At 41.8% G+C, this 25,730-nt stretch overlaps 1 annotated feature.

Moving 5' to 3' along the window:
* Window positions 21,748-22,279: an enhancer, noted in NCBI's record as "NANOG hESC enhancer chr6:14265410-14265941 (GRCh37/hg19 assembly coordinates)". NCBI's record gives its function as "activates a minimal SCP1, AML or CMV promoter by ChIP-STARR-seq in naive H9 embryonic stem cells {active_cell/tissue: H9 hESC(naive)}" and the evidence as "EXISTENCE:reporter gene assay evidence [ECO:0000049][PMID:30033119]".

Below are 25,730 nucleotides of genomic sequence, written 5' to 3' on the forward strand. Positions count from 1 at the left end.
AAACCTAAAATAAAAGTTATAAAACAGAAAACCAAGGATAAAGAAATAATACTTCTTCATCAACCATCTCTGTGACAGGTACTATGGAAGGCATGTAACAGACATTACCTTATGCATTCATGACAACAGCCTTATCAGAAATGTCTCATCCCCATTTTACAGATGAGGGAACTAAAGCTCAGAGACAATGTGAACCAGAATAAACCAAGTTACAGTAACACATCAATCTCAAAATCTCAGTGGCTTAAGGCAACAATGTTAGTGGTTCTCTGGGGACAACTGTCCTTTGTGTGGTGATTCAGAGGCCCAAGCCATTTTAATACCATTGGATCTGTCATCTCAACACAAGGCCTGTAAATTTGCCCCAGCAGGGGAAGTGAGAGACTGGAGAATCTTGCAGCGGACTTCCGCTGCCTCAGGCCAGGAGTGGCATATGTTCCTTCGAGTCAGATGGCCTTGTTTAAATGCAAGGGGCTGGGAGACAGTATCTTCCCAGAACGTATATTGGTGTGGGCTATAATGTCCGGCAGGGAGAGGTTAAGTGGCTTTCACTGCCTTTCTTCCATCTCTTATTCACCCCGTCCTGCCTGTCTGTATAATTTTTCTCTCTTGCAGACTGGATCCCTTGAATTTTATGGTTCATATGTTGAAAACAAGGACACCTACAGGGCACGATGTTAGTGTTACAGATTCAGCCACCGAAGTATCTCATCTCTCCCTGTCTGTCTCTTTCCAGTTTCCCAGGGAGAGGACAAGTTAGGATGCCTGTCCTCTCGAGAGTCAACCATGCCTGGGAGAGAGGGGAGAAAGGCCACATGATAGAAACAGGGCAATTCCTGGTGCAACCTTGTAGATGAAGAGTGGGTAAAGGTGGCTGATCCTCTAAAAAGAGGGTCATTCAAAACTGTAAGTAGCAGAATGAGGATTAGGACCCAGGTCTGTCTGACTCCAGACCTTTTTTTAAACTGCACTTACTACACGTATATATAGCCTCCTGGACATTTTAAAAGTCAAAGAATTAGGAGAAACAGCCCCTGTGTATACAAAACCAGGGTTGCTGCAGAAAACTATGTATTTTCAGATAAGACTTACTATGGCATACACAAGTCAGTCTAAAACTAAGGGAAATATTAATTGGTTTGTCAGAGTTTACAGTCCTCTGTTTGTGGTATAGGCCTCCCAAGGCTATAAGATAAAGATGACTTCCTTTCTCCTCAAGAATCTAGCTCCTAGACCTGCTCTCCAATATAGTAGCCAGTAGCCTCCTGTAGTTATTTAATTTTAAATTTGCTTATATTGAAAATTCAGTTTCTCAGTCACATGAGCCACATTTCAAGTGCTCAATGGCCAGTGTGGCTACTGGGCATACCATTGGATAGTTCAGATATAAAACATTCCCTCATTGCTCTGTGTTTTCTTAGACAGCACTAGGCTAGCCCTTCAACTCATGGGTCTCCCCTACGGAGGAAACACTCTGAGTACAGGAAAAAAACTCAGCATTCTCAAATGGAATCAAAAAGTTTTGTACTGGCCGGGTGCAGTGGCTCACGCCTGTAGTCCCAGCACTTTGAGAGGCCAAGGTGGGTGGATGATGAGGTCAGAAGTTCGAGACCAGCCTGGCCAACATGGTGAAACCTCGTCTCTACTAAAGATACAAAAAATTAGCTGGGCATGGTGGCAGGTGCCTGTAATCCCAGCTACTCAGGAGGCTGAGTCAGGAGAATCACTTGAACCCAGGAGGCAGAGGTTGCAGTGAGCCGAGATCTTGCCATTGCACTCCAGCCTGGGCGACAGGGTGAGACTCCATCTCAGAAAAACAAAACAAAACAAAACAAAACAAAACAAAAAACGAAAGAAAGTTTTGTACTAAAGAAAATTAAGTCGCCTTAATAATAAAACCCACTGAAACCACCCTAAGACTCCAAAAGAAAAGATGGCAGGAAAGGTAAAAGAAGAAACAGGACTTCATTGCCCGTGGTTGTAGGAACGATTCAAACAGGCTCCAGTGAGAGTTAAGCAACATAATTCTCTTCATAAAGGTAGTTGGCTCCATTGCCAATGAAGTCTCACCTCAGCCCTCGGAGTGAACCACACACAGAGACTGCACAGACTCCTGCAAGGAGCATATCTTCTCTAGAGCCCGTGTTCTCTTGTGTCTCTCCACGTTCTTCCTCTTTTATCCTTCCTCCACCTCCACTCTCACTTCATCTATGTTTTCTACTGCAAGACATTCACTCTCCTTCCACTCTTAACTCCCTTCAACTATCAAGCCACGTCACAGATCTAAATGGAATACTTTCTCAAATGGTACTCTGCCATCCAGGCAGCCATGAAGGCAAGGCCAGATTGAAGGGTCTCGAAAGATGATTTTGATTATCAAAAAATGACTATTGCCTTGAGGGGTACTTGTTTCTCTTTTGCAGAATGCAGCGCTGAGTATGTCTAAGGCTGGGTGAACATATAAGGTGCATTGCAAAGCGGTGTCCAAGCATGTTCTGTGGAATGACGGTTAAAAGGTATTCGTTAGCCAAACCAAACCAAACTGAACCAATAGTTTCCAAGGTCCAAAAAATTGAGGGCGACACTAGGTTAACATGTGTAGCCAAGAGTCTTTAATATGCAAATGTGTCTTGTGAATTTCCAGGAGGATGTCATCATATGCCACATTTCCTAAACTTATTTGACCCCAGATCCTTTTAGTTTTGCAGGGTTTTCTCACTGGATAAAAAACTCAGGCCCTAAAGTAACAAAGCTGGTTTCCATGGGTGACTTGGCCCTGAAAATAATTTCAAAGGAATGCTTGTCCTACAAATTTTGAGATTTTGGAGTGTCATACAAATGTTTCCAAATTGACTGTGAAAGACAAGCCGAGTGTGAATAATATATTCTGTTGTAGTCTTCAACAAAAGTTGCTCTCTAGATACTTGGTATGTTTAGTTGACATAGAAAGTTGAAAGTAAAGAAAATAAGGAGAAGAAGAAATAGGAATAAAGTATGAAGCCACAGAGAGAAAAAAATAACTCTTCATCTGGATTAAGCTTGGCTTCAAACGTTTAAATTGTCATGTCTAATGATATTGTGAATACCTCCTTTTGAGACTGAATTAAAAATTTCTAAGGGACTCGTATAAGAAGGTTTGGCAATCTTTGGGAATGAGGTAGTTATTCTTCATGGCCAAATCTAGGCTGGCAGTGATGTAACTTTCTCTCCAAACTGTCCATTACTGTATGTGGTTTGGTCTGGCTGACCCACAGGTAACACAGTACTTGGCTGTGACACACAGTACTCCCTTTGACACACCTCAGAGCTTCATTTCCTTTCTAATTTTTTTGCCTCATGGCCAAGAAAGTGGGGAGCCTATTCTATACTTCTGCATGTTTTCCTTCCGATTGTGAATTGATTCTGATAAACAAGCCCAGTCCCAAGGCTTCTAGCGACATTAATCTCAAGAAATGTGGTAGGTGAAAGGAAATCTGCAGTAACTGTTTCTAATAGTCAAATATGTAATTATAAAATAATTTGGCTCAAAATTAAGAACATTCCCATAATGAACAGTATTTGAGTTAAAACAGAAGCTATGAGATTTCAGTCACACCATGTAGATCCAGCTTTGTGCTGTGCCAGAGTCAGCAAAGTTGCCCAAAGACGACACCTGTTAGGGCACACGTGATGGCTGGCAGAAATATTTGAAACCTCAGTTTAAACACAGATAGGAATAGGGAAAGAGATGACTGAAGAGCACCTGACAGAATTCAACAACCATTTAAAGATAAAAACTCTTAGCAAAATAAGAATAGAAGAGAACTTGTAAATCTGAAACAGTGCGAAGCAAAAAACCTACAGCTAACATCATACTTACTGAAGAACTATTGAAGACATTACATATAAGATAAGAAACAGGACAAAAACATCTGCTTTAATCACTTCTATTCAACATTGTGCTGAGAGCATGGCCATTATAATAAAGAAAAAAAAAACCCAAGAAACAAACAGCATAAAAATTTGAAAGAAAGAAATAAAACTGTCTTTAGTTACAAATGACATGATTGTATACATAGAAAATTTTAAGTGATCTGCAAAATAACTGCTAGAAATAACAAACGAATTTATCAAATTTATAGGATATAGATACAATAAAAATTTTTATATGCTAATAGCAAAAAATCTGAAAAGTGAAATAACAATTAATAGCATCAACACATAAACTACTTAGAAATAAACTTAACAAAATTACAAAACAATGCTAGAAGACATTTTTTTAAAGTTTAAATTAAGAGAGATATACCATAGTAATTGACTTTCTTTCTTGATTCAAGGCTCAGTATTGTTAAGATATCATTTCTCCACAAGTATAGCTGGGCATGGTGGCTCACACCTATCATCCCAGCACTTTGGGAGGCTGAGGCAGGAGGACTGTTTGAGCCCAGGAGTTCAAGATCAGCCTGGGCAACATAGTGAGATCCTGTCTCTGCAAAAAGTTTTGAAGAGTTAGCTGAGCGTGGTGGCACGTGCCTGTAGTTCCAGCTACTTGGGAGGCTGAAGTGGGAGGATTGCTTGAGCCCAGGAAGTCAAGGCTGCAGTGAGCTATGATTGTGCTACTGCAGTGCAGCCTTGGGGACTGAGCAAGACCCTCTCTGCCCCCCCCACCGCCCCCACAAAAAAAACCCACAAATAGATTCAGTGCATTCCAAGTCAAAATCCTAGTTTTTTTTTTAATAGAAGTTGACAAACTAGTTCTAAAATTCATATACAAATACAAATGAGCTACAGTAGCCAAAACAACCTTGAAAAAGAAACAAAGTTGAAAAACTTAATGGTATCTGACTTCAAGATTTTTTTGAAACTGTGGTAATTACTATATTGGGATCAAGATGGACAAATAGATCATTGGAATAGAAAATAATCCAGAAAGAGACTCAAATATATATGGTCAATTGATTTTTTGCAAAAGTGCCAAGCAAATTACGTGGAGAAAGAGGAGGTTTTTTTCAACAAAAGGCACTAGAATAATTGAATATTCATGTGCAAAAAAATTAACTTTGACCCATACTTCACACCATAGACAAAAATCAACCTAAAATGGATCATAGGCATAAATGCAAAACTTAAATCTACCAAACTTTGGGAAGAAAACCAGAAAATGAAATCTTTGTGACTTTGGTTTGGGAAAAGATATTTTTAGTTACAGCAACCAAAGCCTAATCCATAAAAGAAAAAACTGAGAAATTGGGCTTCATCAAAATTTAAAAGTTCTGTTCTTGGAAAAACACTGTTCCCCAAACCACATACTTAAAGCAAATATTTGCAAATCACATATGATAAAAGACTTATCCAGAAAATATAACAAACTCTCAAAAATAAAAAATAAAAAATGAACAACTCTTTTTAAAAAATGTACAAAAGATTTGAAAGGACATTCACCAAAGAAGATACAGAAATGGCAATCACACACAGGAAAAGGGGACATCATTAGCTGTTAGAGGAATACAAAATGAAACCACAATGAGATACCATGTCATGAGAATGTCTAAAATTAAAAACTAACAACAATGAATGTGAGCAAGAATATGGAGCAACTGGAATTCACATTGTAAAATCACTTTGGAAAACTATTTTGCAGAGATTAAGCATTTAAGTGAAACATATTCTTCCCCAGTGATTCGGCATTCCACTGCTAGATGTTAACTCATGAAAAATGAAAACATAACTGTAAAAAGACATATATAAGAATAAGATGTTAGCTTTACTCATAATAGCCCAAATTGGATACAACTCAAATGCCCATCAACAATAGAATGTCTGAACAAATTGTGGTCTACTCACATGTTGGAATACTACTCAGTAAGTAAAAGAAAGAACAACAGATGCTTGCAACAACATAGATGAATTTCAACAATATGCTGAGCCTAAAAAATAGACGCAGGAGACTCCACATTGTATGACTGCAATTATACAGAATTCTATAATAGGCAAACTAATCCATGGTGATAGAGTAGTGGTTGCCTGTAGAGAGGAATTGACTAGAAAGAGGGAAAAGGGAAATTTCTGGGGTGATGGCAATATTTTTTATCTTGACTGGGTGGTAGTTACATAGGTGTATTGTATAGGTTTGCCCAAACTCATTGAATTAAACATGTAGGGTCTGTACCTTTCACTATATGTAAAATGCATGTTAAAAAGAATAGCAATGGACTCTAAACACCTACTTCCTAAGTCTTGATTAAATCTTTCATAATGTATTTTGGTGGTTGTTGCCGGTGGTGGTCTTTCAATTTGAAGAAGAAATTCTTAAGAACAAACACTCAGTTGTGTGAACAATTGTGTGCCCTGTTATGCAGAGGAGTCACTTGTGTACACTAGAATCCTTTCATTATGGACACTTCTCATCATGCATAGAGGGAGCAAAATCGCTTGACAGTTACATTGCCATCAAAGCAAATGACAGAGGCAGTCAAGAGCTGGGGCTCTGGGTTTAAGCAGATGTGGGTTTGAATCCTGGTTCCAGCATTCTTCAACCATTTGACTTTGGGCAAATTATGGAGCTTCTTGTCGCCTGGGGTCCTCACCAGTAAATGAGGAACATAATGCCTGCTTCATGGAGTAATTAGGAGATAGATGATAAAATGCTGCAGACTGTCCATATGGTGTCTGTTGATGAGATGAAGAATAAAATGAGGCTTCTCCTTAGTAGATACATAGTACTCCAGAGGATTTGGGCATTTTATTTAGAAATCTGTCCGAAAGTCTCCAGAAACATTCCCTTAGAAATTTTTTCTGCTAAATGAATGAGTTGGTCTGTGATAAAGAAAGAGAATTTGGTCCCTGGGTTCACATCTCTCACCCTTCCACAAGATTATTTTCACCTCTCACTCCCGATTTAAGCTCCCAGTCTCACCTCTACTTCACCTCCCTAAGCAGGACCAGGTTCTCAGGTTCTGATTTCACACAGAGGGGAAGCAACACTTTTATTTATTTTACATATCATTTAGATCTGGGTTACTTCAAGAAAGCTTAAGGCCTCTAATGGAAAAGCTTGAAAACTTAGCATCCATCTCAAGTGGGTGTTGGGTGTCAGGGTCTGTGCCAGTTGAGGTTGTGCCAATCTGATACTCAAGGTTTACACATACAGCCAATCAAAGAGGCTTCTACCAAGGAGATAAGCTTCCAGGATGGCCTGAGTTGCATCCTGAGCTACACTGTGTCCTTCTCTGACCCCTGTCCCCAAGACAAGATTTGGACAGCATCTGGTTGAGTTACCACCTTTCATAGCTCAGGGATATGTGTGACACTGCAAAAGTCACTTACCTTTTTGGGTATCCATCAGACAGATCTGAGAGTCGAACCCCAGGTGCCTAGAACTCACAACTCCCCCACATCACCAAGACCGGAGCCAGCTGCCAGAGTCTTCTCTTTCCTTGGTCCCAGCTCCAGCCAGAGCATCCGTGGTATAATACAGTATACCATTCCTCTACGGCCTTCTCTGAGTGTTCTGGATCTCCATATTCTGGCTTCTCTGAATGACCCCAGCACTTACTCTCTGTTCCTCTTATTGACACACATGTGGAGCTGGGGAGTGCTCAAGTAGCCTGAAGTCCAGCAGATCTGACTTCATGTCCTGCCGTACTCACTCATGACCTTGGCCCAGTTCAAACCTCTCAATCTCTGGTTCTATAAAATCACTCTCATAACAGTACTTATCTGTTTTCCTAAGGATTTAATGAGATAACATACTCAAGGGGCTGGTACTTAGTAAACACTTAACACATGTCAGCAGTTGTTCTTATTGTATTTACCAATTATAATAATTTTTTGTATTATTCTCCGATTGTTGCCTCTAATGAAATCTTGAGTCCCAAATTAGTTATTTCTGTGAGGGTCAAGAGAGCTTATATATTTCTTTTTATGTATCTCCCACTGTACCTAGGGTGATACCAGGCATTGGGGGCAGCATTGATAACAACTTAATAAGTGATTATAAGTGACTTGATATGTGACTTGCTGTGCCTCTCTGTATACCATATGCACATACATATACCATTGTATTAGTCCGTTTTCGCACTACTATAAAGAAATACCTAAGACTGGGTAATTCATAAAGAAAAGAGGTCTAATTGGCTCATGGTTCCACAGGCTGTCCAGGAAGCATAGTGGCTTCTGCTTCTGGGGAGGCCTCAGGAAGCTTCCAATCATGGCAGAAGGTAAAGAGGGAGTAGGCACATCTTACATGGTTGGAGTAGGCACATCTTACATGGTTGGAGCAGGAGGAAAAGGAGAAGGGAAGAGCCACACAGTTTTAAATAACCAGATCTCGTGAGAACTCACTCACTATACAGTACCGGGGGGGATGGTGTTAAACCCTAAGAAATCACCCCATGATCCAGTCACTTCCCACCAGGCCCATTTCCAACAATGAACATGAGATTTGGGTGGGGACACAGGCCAAAACCATATCAATCATATACTTATACATATACATATACATATACATATACATATACATATACATACACATACACAGGCACATATACCATACACATATGCAATGAATAGGGGATCTGATCTTAATTATTCTTGTATTGTGATGTTCTTTCCCCAAACCTTTCTTTGGAGTCACACTTTCCATATGTTGATGAATATGAATGTATGACTGGCTCATATTACAATTTTATTTTCTTTAAAAAAAATTTGATTCTTCTCAGTAAGCCCAGGTTAAACCCTGTTGAGCTATTAGTTGATCTCTTTCTTTCTGAAAGAGGACAAAAGATCAAGGCATTAGTTTGCAGATTACAAGGATTTTTTTTAATCCTCCTAACTAGTTCAGTTTCAGTGTATTTGCTACTGTGGAAAAGATGGCATCGTTCCTGAAGGGAACATGGAGAATCGGGTGACACGAAGACAAAAACCTGCTGGATTGCTGCAAGAAATGTCCTCAGGTGACCGAGGCTCTTTTGTGAGAAAACAAGAATGTCCTGGCTGCTGAAAACAACAGACGGTGACATGGTTTATGTTGGGCGATGAGGTGACTTCAGCAGGTGCTCCAGGAGAGTCCCCCTGCGCTTGCTGGTCTGTGTAGGGCTTCCCTCCAACCTGCCTGTCTGGGGACTGGGAGAAGGGCTCCTGTGAGGAGAGGCTGGGGGCCCATAGTTCCTGGACCTTGACTTCCTGTTGATACCTTGTTCAGGCTGGAGCTAAGCCACTGACCCCACAGCCTTAAGACCAAATCCCTGCAGCAAAGATGCTGCAACCCATTCTTACATGCTTTTCATATCCTTTTGTACGAGGCTGGGTGAGAGTGAGAGGACAGGATAGAGAGCTCGTGACAACACCTTCTCTTTGGCCTCTTCAACATCACAGGCCGCTGAAAGAGATGCAAGAGACCAGGACCCAGAATCCCAAGATACAAATGAAACACCCAAGAATTCCAGTGTCCGTTTTCTTCTGCCCAGCCATCGCTGGTGTCTCAGGGACAAAACGGCTCCCTAGGACTCTTATCCATCCACACACTCCAGGATTTTAGTTGTGACTTTTTTTGAGCCTCTTGTGGTAGGTATAATGCGACATCAAAATTTGAGATGTGCAAAAAGTAGAGGTTTTTAAATTTCTTTTTTGTTTTTGGTAACTATTTAATTTCTATTTTGAGCCCCTGTTTAGCCAAATGATGAAAATCTAGTCAGATAAGGATCCTCCTCTCTTTCTTCAAAGTCACATCTGCACCCCAGGAGGTAGACAGTACTGAAATATAGAGGGTGTGGAGAGAAGGAGAGCAGGGTCATCTGAACCTGGGTGTCTTCACGGCTCTGTCCTGGCCTCTGCAGAGAGGTCCTTCTTCCTCACCCAGCTCTCTGCCAGGATGCCTTTGTTGCTAACTACTTCTTAGGTTCTGTCTGCCTCTCTCCTCTCTCTTTCTCTCTGCCATGCCTGCACCCTCTTGGGAGCACAGAAAACACATCACTGGCCCAGCACACCCTAGGGGAGAGAGCTTCTGAGAGGCTGCCTCCAGCCTGCCCCCCCAGACACACCTCACGACATTTCCTCTGTACCTGACCTTGCCAGGCATGGTGAAAACAGGTAGGGGGTGGTGAAAACAGGTAGGGGGTGGGTGGGCCTTACTACCCCTCAAGGCTTTCCCTAGGCCCAGGAGGGTGATCCTCTCTGCACTCACGGTATTATTCCTTCTTCTCTTTCCTACAAAACTCAAGAGCCAGGAGCATCTCAGTCTTCCCTCCCTCCCTTCCCATGCTCCTCTCCCTCACTTTCAGACCCAGGGAATCTATCCAGTCCCAGGGTGGGGAAACCTTACATTTATATCATCATATACATTTTATGCTTTGAGTCCCCAAGATCATATTGACTTTCTTCCCCCTCTTTGATCTGGTGCAGTATTGCCCCGAGGCCTGGATGAACAGGACTCCTGCACCAGGCCTTAACCCTTGGGAGACCCTGCACTTTGAAGTATTTTCTGTGAACATTTCTAAGTCCTCTTCAGGTGCTTGAAGCATCCATAGGCCCATTTTTCCTTTCTGGGGAAATATCTGATTCTTTTTTTTTTCTTGGAGAGAGTCTCGCTCTGTTGCCCAGGCTGGAGTACAGTGGCACAATCTCGGCTCACTGCGACCTCCGCCTTTTGGGTTCAAGCAATTCTCCTGCCCCAGTCTCCCGAGTAGCTGGGACTACAGGCACACACCGCCACGCCCAGCTAATTTTTTGTATTTTAGTAGAGACAGGGTTTCACCATGTTGCCCAGGCTGGTCTTAAACTCCTGAGCTCAGGCAATCTGCCCGCCTCGGCTTCCCAAAGTGCTGGGATTATAGGTGTGAGCTGCCGCGCCCGGCCCTGTCTGACTCTTTACTGCCGGGGTCTATCAGATACTTGAAGGGCCCAGACCTCGCACCTATAGGGTCGTCCAAGGCCCCAGTGCTGGGCTTTGGTTCTAGAAGGGTGGACTGCAAGCAGATTCCTCCCACTGGATGAAGCAGAATTTATTTCTCAGAATTCTATGGGATGGGACCGCCATACTGGTGCTGCAGACATGCTGATTTGAGGTGACCCAAACTGTCTATATGGACATTTCCCTGTCCCCTGCAAAAATATGTGCCTGGCAGACAAATTAAGTTTAACAAACTTCAATTGAGCAACGAATGATTTGTGAATTGGGCAGCCCCCAAACCACAATAGGTTCAGAGAGGCTCTAGGCCTGGTTGAAAAAGACTTGTAGAAAGCGAAAGCAAAGTGATGTACAGAAAATGGAAGTGAGATACATAAACAGCTGGATTGGTTACACCTCGGTGTGCGCCTTATTTGAAAAGGGTTTGAGCATTTGGCCACCTGTGATTGGCCGAGAAACTCAGCGATTGGCATGAGAGTAGGTTACAGTCTGTTTACACATTCGGGTAGGTTACAGTTCACTGTGCATGAAGAAACCTTTAGGCTGAACTTAAAATATGTAAGGAGGCATCTTTAAGCTAAACTTAAATTTAACACCCCACGTACCCTCTCGGGTGACTTTGTTCTTGCATCTTCCTCCTTCACTCAGGCGATAAGCATGACATATCGAGCTACTTCTAGAATAAAGGGGAGGGACACGGGTAACAGAAAACACAAGGAAAAAGTACATTAGCAAATTTACCCAAAGATCATACTGCCATTCTCTTGAATTGGCCCAGTATATAGTCAATACTGAGCATCAGAAGACTTGAATTTGGCCGGGTGCAGTGGCTCATGCCTGCAATCCCAGCACTTTGGGAGGCCGAGGCTGTGGGTTACCTGAGGTCAGGAGTTCAAGACTAGTCTGGCCAACATGATGAAACCCCGTCTCTACTAAAAATACAAAAATTAGCTGGGCATAGTGGTGGCCGCCTGTAATCCCACCTGCTCAGGAAGCTGAGGCAGGAGAATCACTTCAACCCGGGAGGCGGAGGTTGCAGTGAGCTGATATTGCGCCGCTACACTCCAGCCTGGGCGACAGAGAAAGACTCCATCTCAAAAAAAAAAAAAAAAAAATTGATTGAGCTCAGGTTAGTTTTAGTCCTGACTCTGCTATTAACCAGCTGTGTGATCCTGGGCAAGATATTTGACCTCTCTGGGCCCGTTTCTTCATCTTTAAAATGAGATGGATGGATGGCTATCTATAATAGATGGATGGGCAGATGAGGGAGGGAAGTTTCCCAGATAGACTGGGGAGGAGGTGGGAGCTGGTGGTTGTCTAGACTCTCTGTCCCTACCTAGTGCTGCAAAAATTCCCATTTGGGCGCTATCATCCCCATCACGCCTCTTTCCCCACTGCTTTGTTTCCAAGAGCAGCTTGGTGAGGTAAATGAAAAGATTGCTCTAAGAGTCAGAAAACCTGAATTTTTCTTCTACAGTGTTTGTTGTGAGCTTTTGGCAATGTAGAAGCTCTCCAGGTGTTACCTTTCTCATCAATAAGATGCAGTTAATGATACGTGTTTCGTGTATCATGGTGTTTTGGGCATCATGTGTGACAGTGTGCATGGAAGCTGCTCTGCAGCCCTGAAGCCCACAGGTAAGGTCGTGTCTTACAAGGCATGACTGGGACTGCTTCTCTTCCATATTCCCCGCTACAGCTGCCCATGGGATTCCTATACAGTGTACACCAAACATTGTTCCAGGTGACTTCACAGCTCCCGAATGAAACTGAGTAACAGAGATCACCAGATAAGGTGGTGTTACTGAGTTATGTTCACCATGTGTCAGGGAAAAGGACTTCTGCGTTGTTTTATTTTTGTTTTAAGGCATCAGAGCCAGAACATGTACAGTTTTTACAGGGAGACTAAAAACTAAGGGCTTACTTGTCCAAGTAAGTGTGGTTTGCCACCCGAACTGAATGAGACAGTGGAAGGTCTCCTGCTAAATGAGACAACGGGAAGGAAAAGCAGGCTTAGAAGCATATTTGGGATAGATCTACGGAGATAGGACAGTGCTCAGAGAAGAAGACGAAAGTTGTCCTTCTGGTAAATGCCTATATGAAGTTAGTGAGAGAACTGCCACATCTTATCCCTTTCACCTGAGCCAATTACTCTCGGTCACTTCTTAAATAATTCTCACTTGATGGTATTTGGGGAAAACCTGTCTCAGACCTTTTGCCTCTGCTCTCACACCCCAACAATCAACACAGAAGAAGGCTTCTGTAGCCAAATGTGTGGGTTTTCCCCCCACACTGACAGCAGACACCAGCTGGGTGTCTTCTAATTCAATTCCAACACTCCCTACCTGGAAATAGTGTCAGATTCCACAGGTTGAGGGCTCACTCAGTCCCCAAGACTGCCCCCACTTCACACATCTGTGACATGAGCAGGCCTCTGGAACTTCTGATCTACTGTCTTCAAGTTGGCGTTCTCATAGCCCCCTCTTAGGATTTGATTAACTTGCTGGAGCAGCTCACAGGACTCAGGGAAACACCTGTGTTTACCACTTTATTATAAAGGATATGAATGAAGAGCAGCACAGGGAGAGGTGTGCGGGAAGGGGCGTGGAGCTTCCAGGTGTCATCCCTGGGAGTGCCACCCTCCAGGAACCTCCACATGTTCAGCTCTCTAGAAGCTCTCTGAACCTTGTCCTTTTGGGTTTTTCTGGAGGCTTCCGATAGGCATGATTGACGTTACATAGGCATGGTTGACAACCGTGTAGAAATGTGCCTGGATAAAAAGCCCATGATCTAAACCCAGCAAGGCCTGTCTGTTCAGACTTTTCTTGGTCTCTCTGCATAGCATTCTTTCCTCTAGGATATGGGGCAAGACCCTCTCTGGAATGAGGGTCTTTTTGATCCACAATCAGATTAGAGTCCTGCCTTGGGCAGGTAAAAGGAGGACAGGAAAAGGTCAGAGAGAGAGATTATATTTCCAGAGGCCCATCTCTGAGGTCTAAAGCACCCCAACATTATAACAAAAGACTGCAATAAGGGTTATGGGTGTTATGATTCAGGAACTGCAGATGAAAATCAATATGGGGGTGCGTGTGTGTGTGTACACACATATATAAAATCACATATAAAATCATAGTGTCACACATGGCATCATAAAAGTTTAGAGTAGGAGGAAATCTTTAAATGACCTAGACTGACCTTCCCCTTAGTTCAGTGGCTCTTGAAGTACCCATGCCCTCCAGCCAGCAGGCACAGAGAACTTGTTAGAAATGCAAGCTCACGCCTGTAATCCCAGCACTCTGGGAGGCTGAGGCGGGTGGATCACGAGGCCAGGAGTTTGAGACCAGCCTGGCCAACATGGTGAAACCCTGTCTCTACTAAAAATACAAAAAACTAGTTGGGTGTGGTGGCAGGCGCCTGTAATCCCAGCTACTTGGGAGGCTGAGACAGTAGAATTTCTTGAACCCGGGAGGCAGAGGTTGCAGTGAACCGAGATTGCACCACTGCACTCCAGCCTGGGCAACAGGGCAAGACTCCGTCTCAAAAAAAAAAAAAAGAAAGAAAGAAAGAAAGAAATGCAAGCTCTTGGGCCCTGCCTCAGACTCACTGAATCAGCAACCCTGAGTGGGACTCAGAAATCAGAGAACAAGCCGCCCAGGTGATTCTGATAGAACTAAAATGTGAGAACCACAGTCCTCATTCATCCCTTTCTAAAACAGCATACCTGACACCTAACAGACGACCTTTCGGCTTCTAGCTGAATATTTCTGGTGATGGGGAGCTTACTACCTCATGAGACGTCTAACAATTAGATAGTTTCTCATTTTCATGAGATAAATCTGACTTCTTGTCACTTTCACCCTACTTTATCCTCTGAATGCAATTCAGAGATATACTGACTCCAGATCACTGGAAACTGGGCTAATTATTCACATAGTAGGAATTTGGTAAAAGAGAATAAACTGGGAGGGAGGCCAGGGCCTCACATTTTCCTTTCAACCAAATTAAATAGCAAGATTAAGGGCTGTCCCTGCCATTTGTGAGATTATGATAAATATCAGTATTAATAACAATAGTGACAGTAATAATTACCCACGGCTCGATTTGGATGCAGGTCAAGAAACCATCCAAATCAAATTACATGTAAGAAAAATATGTGTTCAGTGGGGGGAACATTCTCAAAGAGGAAGAAAAATTGACACTGTGAAAAACATTTCACCTTCTAATGGGGATAACTATTCCGTTCCATTCCAAGGAGGTGATAAGAGAAAAATCTCCTTGCAGGACAGGGATATTTTATGGATGAGGTTCCAGCCCCGCTTTGGCTCAGTGTGTGCACAGTAAAAAAAAAGGCTGGTGGGCAAAAATGAGCCTTTACCTGAGGACACCTCAACCAGGGCTGCTTTGACTTGAGTATGCTTGTTTGGCCAGTTTTTATTGGTGGGGGTCTTTTCTATTTGTTCCCGGTGGGTATTTGGTAGAAGGAACAGGAAGAGAATGTGATATTCTTTCTCACACAGGGAGGCAGAGAGGGGAGGGATGGGACTGGGGAGGGGGAGGAGGAAGAGGAGGAGGAGAAAGAGGAGGAGGAGGGAGGGTGAAGTTACCCTGAGGCTCTGGCCTCAGCCTCCCTTCCCTCAGTCTAGCTATAATCTCTTCTTCCACTTTCTTGCCCCCACAGCTCTAAGCAGTGCCAGGGTACTCTTATAAATATTTTTTTCTCCCCCAAATTTGAGCCTGGAGAGTGTTTACTTCCTGTCAAATCCCAGGGACCTGCTGATTTTTCCCATTACTGCAAATTGCTGCTCTGGGTGCTTTGCATTTGTTATTAAGATGCAATCAGGGCTGCCTAGCTGATTACCAGCCTCACCTCAGCCCCAACCCTCACACCTGACTTAGGAGTGAACTGCAGTGTAAAACAGAATCCCAGTCTCTGGCTGCTGGGGACCGGCGAGGGCTTTCTGTTTTGTCAGGGGCACAGGGGCTCCGGTGGGCAGCTGGGGCAGAAGGAGCACCAGGAAGGAGCCAAGAGGTGCTGGGCTCCTCCACAGATCCTGAGATGCTGAAAAGCAACTTCGTGTTTCTCAAGTTCCTGGGAATTGTGGTGGGTGTTGGGCCGTGTGACAGGCCTCTGGAATGATGACGGCTGATGGCTGTGGCGGCCTGCCCGAGCCAGGCCTTCCACACGAATAAGCGCAGAGTGTCTCTTAAGGCTAAATGGCAGGATGATGCGCCCATGGGTGATGGCCTGCCTGGAATCATGTGTCAATCAGCATGCTCCCAAACAGCTACAAGCTCTGCCACAGACACAGCCCCCATCTCTGCCTTCCACCTGAGGACCCCTCCTCCTCTGCCCACCCTTGTCAAATCCACCCAGCCCCTTCTTTGGTTATGTTCATGACTGCAGCCAGCAAAATGCACACAAGCACGTGAGCACACACTTCCAGCGGCTTCTGAGCACACAAAAAAACCAACTCCCGGGCCAGAGCTCGCTTTCTTTAGGCCATCTGTGACCCTAACTCCTCTCTCCTCTTGCTTGCTTTGTTAAAAAGTGTCTCCATTTTTATTAAACAAGTGTCTTAGCTCTTGCCTTCCCTGAAGGTTCATTGTTGCATGAAAAAAAGAACAGCTCCCCTGAAGATCACAAACACAGAAATTGTATTGAATCACTGAGAAGGGAAAGGGTGAGAGAATCGGAGGAGAAGCTGCAGCAACACAGCTGTCACAAATTCAAGCAAAAGCATCAAAACCTGATAACGAGAGAGACAAGCTAGAGCTCTTTGTGTGCCCCTCCACGGACATCTTTTTAAAATCCAAGTCAGATCTACGTGGGGAAGCTTGCAGCAGTGTGATGCTTGTCCTGTGTCACCTGATTTTTATTAGATCTACTGAATGTGTTGATGGAAGAAAAAATAGAGCGTAGAGAGGAAAGGGAGAGAACTAAGGGAGGTGGGATTTTTGTAGCACTGAAAGTGCCCAGACTTGAAAAGAGACAGGCAATCCTGAGTTCAAACCCTGCCTATTCCACTTACTGCCTCTGTTTCTTGAGCCTGTTTTTCCCATTCTGAATAGAGATAATGAATCTGTATCATAGGATTATTACAAGGAGGACACAAGGAAGAATAAACACAGTATGTAAAATTTGCTTGCTTTTTCTGTTATTTGGAGAAGAAGATGGTTAAGGCAAGAATTTTTTTAAAATAAAATTATTTTTGGCATCATTTAAAGACCAAGATGAGACTCTACTCAGGATCAAAAGGGATTATGGTGCCCTATCCTCCCATGGAGAAAAACATACAGTTATTAAACTCCAAATTTGCATTATTCTGCTCTCCTTACTAATTCTACTTTTTTTTTTTTTTTCCTGGTATGCCACTTAGATAGCCTGAAGCTGACAAACACAAAGCCTAGACCCGGGGTCCTCCCCAGTTGCTCAGGGAGTCTTCTTTCTGGGCCCAAGTTTAAAGGCAAGTTGCATTGTGGGGCTCACACAAGAAAGAACAGAACTGTCTTTAGCACAAAGAGGCATCCCAGAGTGTGTTTAGGGAGAAACATAAAGGGTTGACCTGGGTGAAGCCCATGACAGAAACCTTGTGAAAGAACTTCCCAAGGAGGCACATGCTAAGGTGGGCTGTGAGCATGCCAACAGGTGTGTTCCCTTGGGGCAGCTGGGGCCTCTGAGCCTTTTCTAGGCTGTGAGGTGTCCAGGGAAGGCCTAACATATGTGGAATTGGAGTCCCTGACTGTCATTAGAATCCCAGAAGCAAAGAAGAGAAGGAGAATGAAACAGAAGCAAAGTTTGAAGCGATAATACCCAAAGTTTCCCTGAACAGAAAAACAATATCCAGACACAGATTCTAGAAGCTTAATAAACACTGATAAGGTAAACATAAGACAAATGCATCTAGATATCTCATGGTCTTCTATATGACTGCTAAAAATGAAAGACAGAAAAAAATCTTAAGAGTAATCAGATTTTAAAAAGGACATTACTTTCAAAGGAGCAACACTAACACCGAACTTCTCAAAAGAACCGATGGAAGTCAGAAGATGATAAAATGATGTGTTTAAAATTCCAGAATCATAGTGGGAGGTTTTAACAGTATAAGTAAATGATAAACAAGCAGTCAAAAAGTCAGGAGGGCTATAGAATGCCTGAACAACAGGCCTAGCAAGTTGAATTATTATAATACATAGGAGACTCACCAAACAAGTACAGAACATGCCTTCTTTTTAAGTACACATGAATCGTTTTCCAAATTGATTATGTGCTGGACCATAAAGTAGTATCAACAAACTGTAAGCTATTAAAATCATAGTCTTTGACTACAGTGAAATTGAACTAGAAATTAATCACAAAAATGAATGAAATGATGATAAAATATGGCCTATTAAAATATGTGCTTAAAGGAAGGGCACAGCCTCAAATGTTAGAAAAGAAAAAAGGCTGAAAATAATGATGTGAATATTCATACGAAGAATTTGGGAAAATAAAACACAATTAAACCCTAATATAGTAGAAATAGGAATTTAATGAAATAGATGACAAATGTATAACAGAGAAAATCAACAAAATTAAAAGTTGTTTTTTTGAAAGGACTAATAAAATGTATTACCCCCTAGTAAGACTATGTATTAAATATTTGTGTGTGTAGCGTGGGGACCACACATAAATTATCACATTAGGGATGAAAAAAGGGACATTATTCCAGAATCTCCTTACATTAAAAAAGTGAGAAGATATTTTCAATAACTTCATGCCAATACATTTCATAATTTATAAAAATAGATCTTATCAAAATTAATACAGAGAGAAACAGGAATTTTGAATAGCTCAATAGCTATTAAAATTGAATTCATTATTAAAAACCTTTCCCTAAAGATAACTCCAGACCCAGATGGTTTCACCAATAATTTTTTTCAAACTTTAATAAATAAATAACTGATTTTATACAGTTTTCAGAAATAGGAAAACAAAAGACATTTTAAAATGTGTAAAGCCAAATATAGTTCAAAATAATGCAAGGAAATCACAAGACAGAAATTACAGGCTGATCTCTTCCATGAATGTAAATTTTAATTATTTTTCAAAATATTAGCAAATCAAATCTGTGATTTATAAAAGGTACAAATTACAACCAATCTGAGTTAATTCCAGAGATACAGGATTGGCTTAATAATCAAAAGACAGCAATTGTAATTTATCACATTAATAGAATGAAGGAGAAAAACCATGTGTCTATATCAAAAGATGTAGAAAAAGCATTTGATAAAATTCAATATACATTTCTGATAAAATCTTTACTTATCAAAATGAAAATAACATTTCCTTAATCTGACAAAAAGCATCTGTTTAAAAAGATCTACTGCGATCACCATGCTTAAAGGTAAAATACAGAAGCCATCCCTTGAGATTAGAAATTAGTCAAGATTCCTGGATAACGTTTCTTCAACGTTGTCCTAAAGTACAGCAAGAAAAAAAAAACTCTGAAGTCTCAAAAGGAAGGTACAATACTATCAGTATCTGTAAATGGCATGAATGTGTGCTTAGAAAGAGACAAAATAATTTATAGCAAAACTGTTAGAATCGTTAAGTAAATTCAGCAAAGTCACTGAATACAATGTTGATATACAAAAATAAATTGTATTCCTATATATTAACAACAATTGAAAAGAAAATAAAATCATACCATTTATAATAGGATCCCCAAATAGCAAATGCCTAGAATAAATCTAATGAAAAACCTGCAGGAAAGCATTATGAAAGAAATTACGGAAGGTCAAATAAAGAAGGAATAGACTATGTTCATGGATTAGAGATTCAATATTATAATAAAGCCAACTGATCTAAGTATTAAGAATTTAGGATACCTTGTTTGTTTTTTGCTTTTTTTCCTTTTGGGAAAAGTGACAGGCTGATTATAAAATGTGTATGAAAATGTAAGAATAATAACTACATTCTCCTTGAATAGGAAAATAAAATTAGATGGCTTATAATATTAAGAGAGATTATAATGCTACAGTAATTAAGAGAACATAGTATTCATGTAAAATATAAATATGAAGCAAAGTATCAGAAGAAATTATTAAAAATAGACCCATTCATATAAAGTTATTTGATTTATGCCAAAGTTAACATAGCAGTGCATTTTTTAAAAAATGACCTTTTTCCTAATAGTCTGAATCAGTGAAATATACGTATGAAAAAAATATTGATTCCTATCTTACATCATATCTTAAAAAATTAGTTCCAGGAAAATTACAAATATAAATATGAAAGCTGAAACAATTCAAACTCTAGTTTAATAATAGGGCTCTTTCATAACATTAAAGTGAAAAATTGTTTATTAAGCAGGGCACACACAAAAGGATAATAACTATAAAATAGGTGATTAATAAGTTTTACTACATAAAAAATAAGAATGTCTATTCACAAAAATGTCTCTTAATAGAGACTGAAAGTCAAGCCTGACAGTAGGAAAAAGATATTGGCAATACATCTCTCTGAGGAAAGTCTCCTATCTAGAGTAGATAAAGATATCCTATTAATCAGTAAGAAAAAGATGACTCAATAGATAAATGTGCAAAAATCCTTGTTGAGCACCTCTAAAAGAAGACATCCAAGTGGCTAATATGCATGTGGAAAGGTGTTAAATCTCATTAGTCTTCAGGGAAATGAAAATTTAAGCCATAATGTAACAACAACACTACATATCCACCACAATGGCTAAAATTAAAAAGATCAACAACACTCAGTGTTGGTGAAGATGTGAGGTCCAGCTGAAATTCTCATATCCTGACTATGTGCTGTGGTGTTATACAGTATGAATTGAAAAACAACACCTTGAAAAACTATGTGATGGGATCTACTACAAAAACTATATGGTGGTATCTACTTCATTGTGGTATATGAACATACATATACCACAAGACTCAGCAATTCCACTCCTGCTGTTTGCTGGGCAGCCATCTCTCACCCACATCTTTAAGGTCTGCCCTCTTACTGATGTCCAGTGCTTTTGAGGGCCCAAGGCAGTGCCTCACTGTGGTATAAGGGAGAAGAAACACGTTCCTTCCTATCTTAGGTTCATGACTGAGGCCCCAGAGAACAGCATATAGATTTATTTGCCATAAGTTTTATGTAACATGGGAGCCTTCATAAGAAAAAGAAGCTCCAAAGAAACAGTTCAGCTTGTGTATTTTTATGCTAGATGTGATGAAGAGTTGACAGTGATGGAGAAAGTAATTGGACAAAGGGGTATGATTTAATGGTAATAAACTGGGGGGGATTTAACAAGGCCTGTTTGCTTAGATTCTTCTCTGTGTCCCTGTGTCCTCATAGATAAGAATGTTCTTGGGCCAGGTGCAGTGGCTCAGGCCTGTAATCCCAGCACTTTGGGAGGCTGAGGCAGGCAGATCACCTGAGGTCAGGAGTTCGAGACTAGCCTGACCAACATAGAGAAACCCTGTCTCTACTAAAAATACAAAAATTAGCCAGGCGTGGTGGCACATGCCTGTAATCCCAACTACTTGGGAGGCTGAGGCAGGAAGATCGCTTGAACCTGGGAGGCGGAGGTTGTGGTGAGCTGAGATCACGCCATTGCACTCCAGCCTGGGCAACAAGAGCAAAACTCTGTCTCAAAACAAAAAAAAAAAAAGAAAGAAAAGAAAAAAATGTTATTTTCCTCTGAGTATAGGGAGAGCTTCTTTCATATGAGGCTGTTATGATCTGCTTCAGGAGAAGGTCAGAAAATCCTTCCCAGGTTTCATGACCTGCCTCAGGGAAGAAGGGCAGTGGGAAAGGTGAAAATTCCTTTCCTGCTTCTGCTGTTTTCTTAAATGCCAAGGTGCCACATTTGGGGATAGCATGTCCTATACCCAATCAGTGGCCATTCTCTGCCCAGGGTGCTAACTATGGAAGCCCTTCTGGTGACCAAATGGTACTGCAGTTTCTCCTATCTCAACTGGACCTGAGCCACACTGAGCTCCTCACAGACACAGGGCGCAGTTGTGTGCTGTATTTCATGACAGAAGTCTAAAGCAGTTTTGCTTGTGCCCCCATTCACACAAAACCCCTTGGATTTTCAACTACTCCTGCCTGCTGGCACTCTCTCCACAGACAAAGCCTAGTCCATGGGTTCTGATCAGGAAACAGACCCCATGCTGTCCCCTCCATCTGTGTCTTGCCCCTAGGCCCCTGTCATCAACCTTCTGTAAGTGCAAACAGATGCCTGCAGGCTGCTTGTGACATTCATTACTCAGACACCACAATTCTAGCTCTTGCTTTAGGCCCCTTGGGACTCCTGCTACATGGTGTGTCATTTAGGAATTCTTTGGGCTGCAAGTAAGAGAAATCCCAGCCAATGGTACCTTAAATCAATAGGCACTAGCTTTTCTGATTAAGAAATTGGGAGGTAGGTAGAGGCTGGTATTGGTTCAGCTGCTCAGTTGAATCATCAGGGAGCCAGATGTTTTCTATCTGATCGCTGTGACATCCTTAGTATTGGCTTTTTGTCCCTTATCTTTGCCATCTCATAGTTACAAAATGGCTATGTAGCTCAAAGCATCACGACCATGTGCAGTACAGAAACAAGGGGGAAGAGATAGTATAGCTCACGCTATGTCCCACCTGTCTCTTTTATCGGAAAGGAAAGCCTTCCTTTCCCCAGCTCCCACCCTCAGCAAACCCTGATGTCTCCTTTGTCAAAACCATGTCACATGGACACGCCTAGATACAGAGGACACTGGAAAGTGAATATTCAGTAGTTCAAAATGGCCTTTGCATAGCCAACTAGCAGTGCCAAACAACAGTCACTCAGAAACACAAATCGAAGCAAAACTGTTGTATAATCCACCTAGAATGGAATAATTGGGAGCTGGATTTACCTATTCAGCTTGGCTTTCTTTGGGGACAGATATGTACTTTCATCTTCCCCATGCAGGCTTTGAAATTACTTGCTTGGTTTTTCTGTGTTTCCAGTCAAAATGAGGTTTTCCTTTGGTAAATATAACGATTTTCTAATAAAAGTGCCAAATTATTTTATTGAGTGGTGACTTTAGACTTTCCTCCCCGCTACTTATTTGAACATCAGAGTCAATTCCCCCAGTGTCATTCTAGACAATTTGATAGAGTAAAGGAATGAGAAGCCTCTGCTCAGTCAAGTGTCTGATTAATACAGGTGCAGTATGCAAATTGCTAACTTTCTAAAAATTAGAATCAGATAAAACATGCTTACAACTGCTCTTACAGTATCTCTTCTTTTTCTCAATCTCTTAACATCTTCTTCCCAAACATTACCTGTTATGTGTGGTAGGATGTTACCTTTTTGAGACTGTTGTTAATTTTCCCTCTTTTCTTAGCCCTAATCACTTCCCTCTAGACTCCTACGCCTCTCTGCCACTCTTTGCTGATTGTCTTATATGGACAAATCATAAATCCAACTGAGAAAATGGCAGGTTGCAGAGTGTTTACACCAGTATTAAATTTAATCACAATACACACCCTTATCTGGACATGGCACCTCCCCACAAAAAATAGATACCCATTTATCCATAAGACGTTTTTCCGACCTACTTCCTCTGTCATCGCTAGGCAAGTATTTCCAATCTGCTTTCATATTGCGTTTACGGCAAATGCAGTGTGTCAGGAATTCTAGATTATCTTTCCCAATGTAGTGTGAGGGGGTGAATTGACAAGTTGTTTCTGTTTCTTTGTGTCTACCTGTACTTTTTATGTACAAATAGAGAGTGTACTGAAAATTGTTGCTATTTAATGATTCCTTCCTTCAAAACATCCTATGAACCTGCTCACAGCTCTCAAAACATCAAAGGCATGATGCAGTGCAAAGCTAAAGCCTTAATGGGAAACCAGAAATAGAAGAGTTGGTTTGGAAAATGCAGGATGTGCCAATTAAGATGGGAAAGACAAAGAGAAAGCCTGCACATCGAGTTTTAGGACACAGAAAAGAGAGAAAATGGGAGTTTTAACGGTTAGAGTCTGAGAGGTGGGCAGCCTGACTGATGAGCTGAGTGACCAGAGAATCAGCATTCCAACACGGAGGTTTCTATGTGTGGCTGAACATCATCTCCTGCATCGAACAGCCACCAAAAGCTGGACTCCACCAGTCAATGGCCAGTGAAAGACAGAGCAAGCCTGGTGTTGAGAGCCTCTGCTAGCACACACAGCTTCTGAAAAAAAAATTTTTCACGGAATGGGTTTAATAGGAGTCTTAAGTTTTTTCTTTTTGTAAAATGTGTTTTTTAAGGCTGGACGTGGTGGCTCATGCCTGCACTTTGGGAGGCAGAGGTGGGTGGATCACCTGAGGTCAGGATTTTGAGACCAGCCTGACCAATATGACGAAACCCCGTCTCTACTAAAAGTTCAAAAATTAGCTGGGTGTGGTGGCGGGCACCTGTAATCTCAGCTACTTGGGAGGATGAGGCAGGAGAATCGCTTGAACCCGGGAGGTGGAGGTTGCAGTGAGCCGAGATCACGCCATTGCACTCCAGCCTGGGGGACTAGAGCAAAATTCTCTCTCAAAAAAAATGTGTTTTAAAAATTTGTTTGCATTCTTTAAAATGGCTTTATTGAGATATAATTCACATACCATATAATTTGCCCACTTAACGTGTATAAGTCAATGAGTTTGGTATATTGCAGTATTAACCTTTTTATAATTGTGGTGAGAAATATAACACCAAATTCATCATTTTAACAATTTTAAGTGTACAATTCAATGACACTAATGACACGCATCGTGTTGTGCAATCATTACTACAGTCTATTTCAAATTTTTTTTCATCATTCCGATAGTATCTTTCCTTGATTTTGAAAGACGACATCTTCAACTGGGCAAACTGACAAAAAACCCACTTAACTTTGGGCTGTCAAGTGTAGTCTTTGGCTGCCTGACATGTTGGCTCACCCCTATAATCCCAGCGACTTGGGAGGCCAAGGAGGATTGCTTGATCCCAAAAGTTTGAGACCAGCCTGGGCAACATAGTAAGACCCTGTCTCTTAAAAAAAATGTCTACTCTTGGTTTGGTGAATGGGGCGTGGTGGAATTCAGCTCCCATGTCCCCCTTGGCCAGCCACCTGGTGCAGCACACACTCCCAGGCTTTCTCAGCAGCCCTGTTGATGCTGTCACTGAAGCACTAGGCCCAGACAGGACAAGAGCTTGCCATCCAATGGGGAGAAGTGTTGGAGGGGAGGAGAAGGAGGATATTCATTGGTTGGGTACTGATGCTGAGCTACGCCCTATGCTGAGGGCTTGCATATCTCTCCTGAAAAGGACTGCTTCATGCTTTAATTCCATACGCAGTGAACTGAATAACATACCATACCTCAAAGTATCTCACAATTCTTCCAGTTCTATTGGAGACTCGGGGACCTGTGTAGCTGTACAGAGCAGAGGAGGTAGAAGAAAGGGGTGTTTGTGGAGGCAAAAAGAGGACTCTTGATGGGCAAATCTCTGATGGACAAATCTGTCCTACTCCTGTGCTAACTTCCTGGGATTACTGTAGCAAACTACCACAAACATAGGGACTTAATGTAAAGAAATTTATTGTCTCGTGGTACTAGAGGACAGAGGTCCAAAATCAAGGTGTTGTCAGGGCCATGCTCCTTCCAAAGGCTCCAGGGTAGGATCCTTCCTTGCCTCTTCCAGCTGCTGGTGGCCCCAGGCATTTCTTGGCTTGTGGCTGCACCATTCCAATCTCTGCCTCTGTTTTCACATGGCCTCTCCTCTTCTCCATGAGTCTCTTCTTTTTGTGACCCTTATAAGGACACTTATCACTGGATTTAGGGCCCACCTGGATAATCCAGGATGATCTTATCTCGAGATCCTTAAT

Source organism: Homo sapiens, chromosome 6 (genome assembly GCF_000001405.40).
Source record: "Homo sapiens chromosome 6, GRCh38.p14 Primary Assembly".
In the NCBI taxonomy this organism is placed as follows: Eukaryota; Metazoa; Chordata; class Mammalia; order Primates; family Hominidae; genus Homo; species Homo sapiens.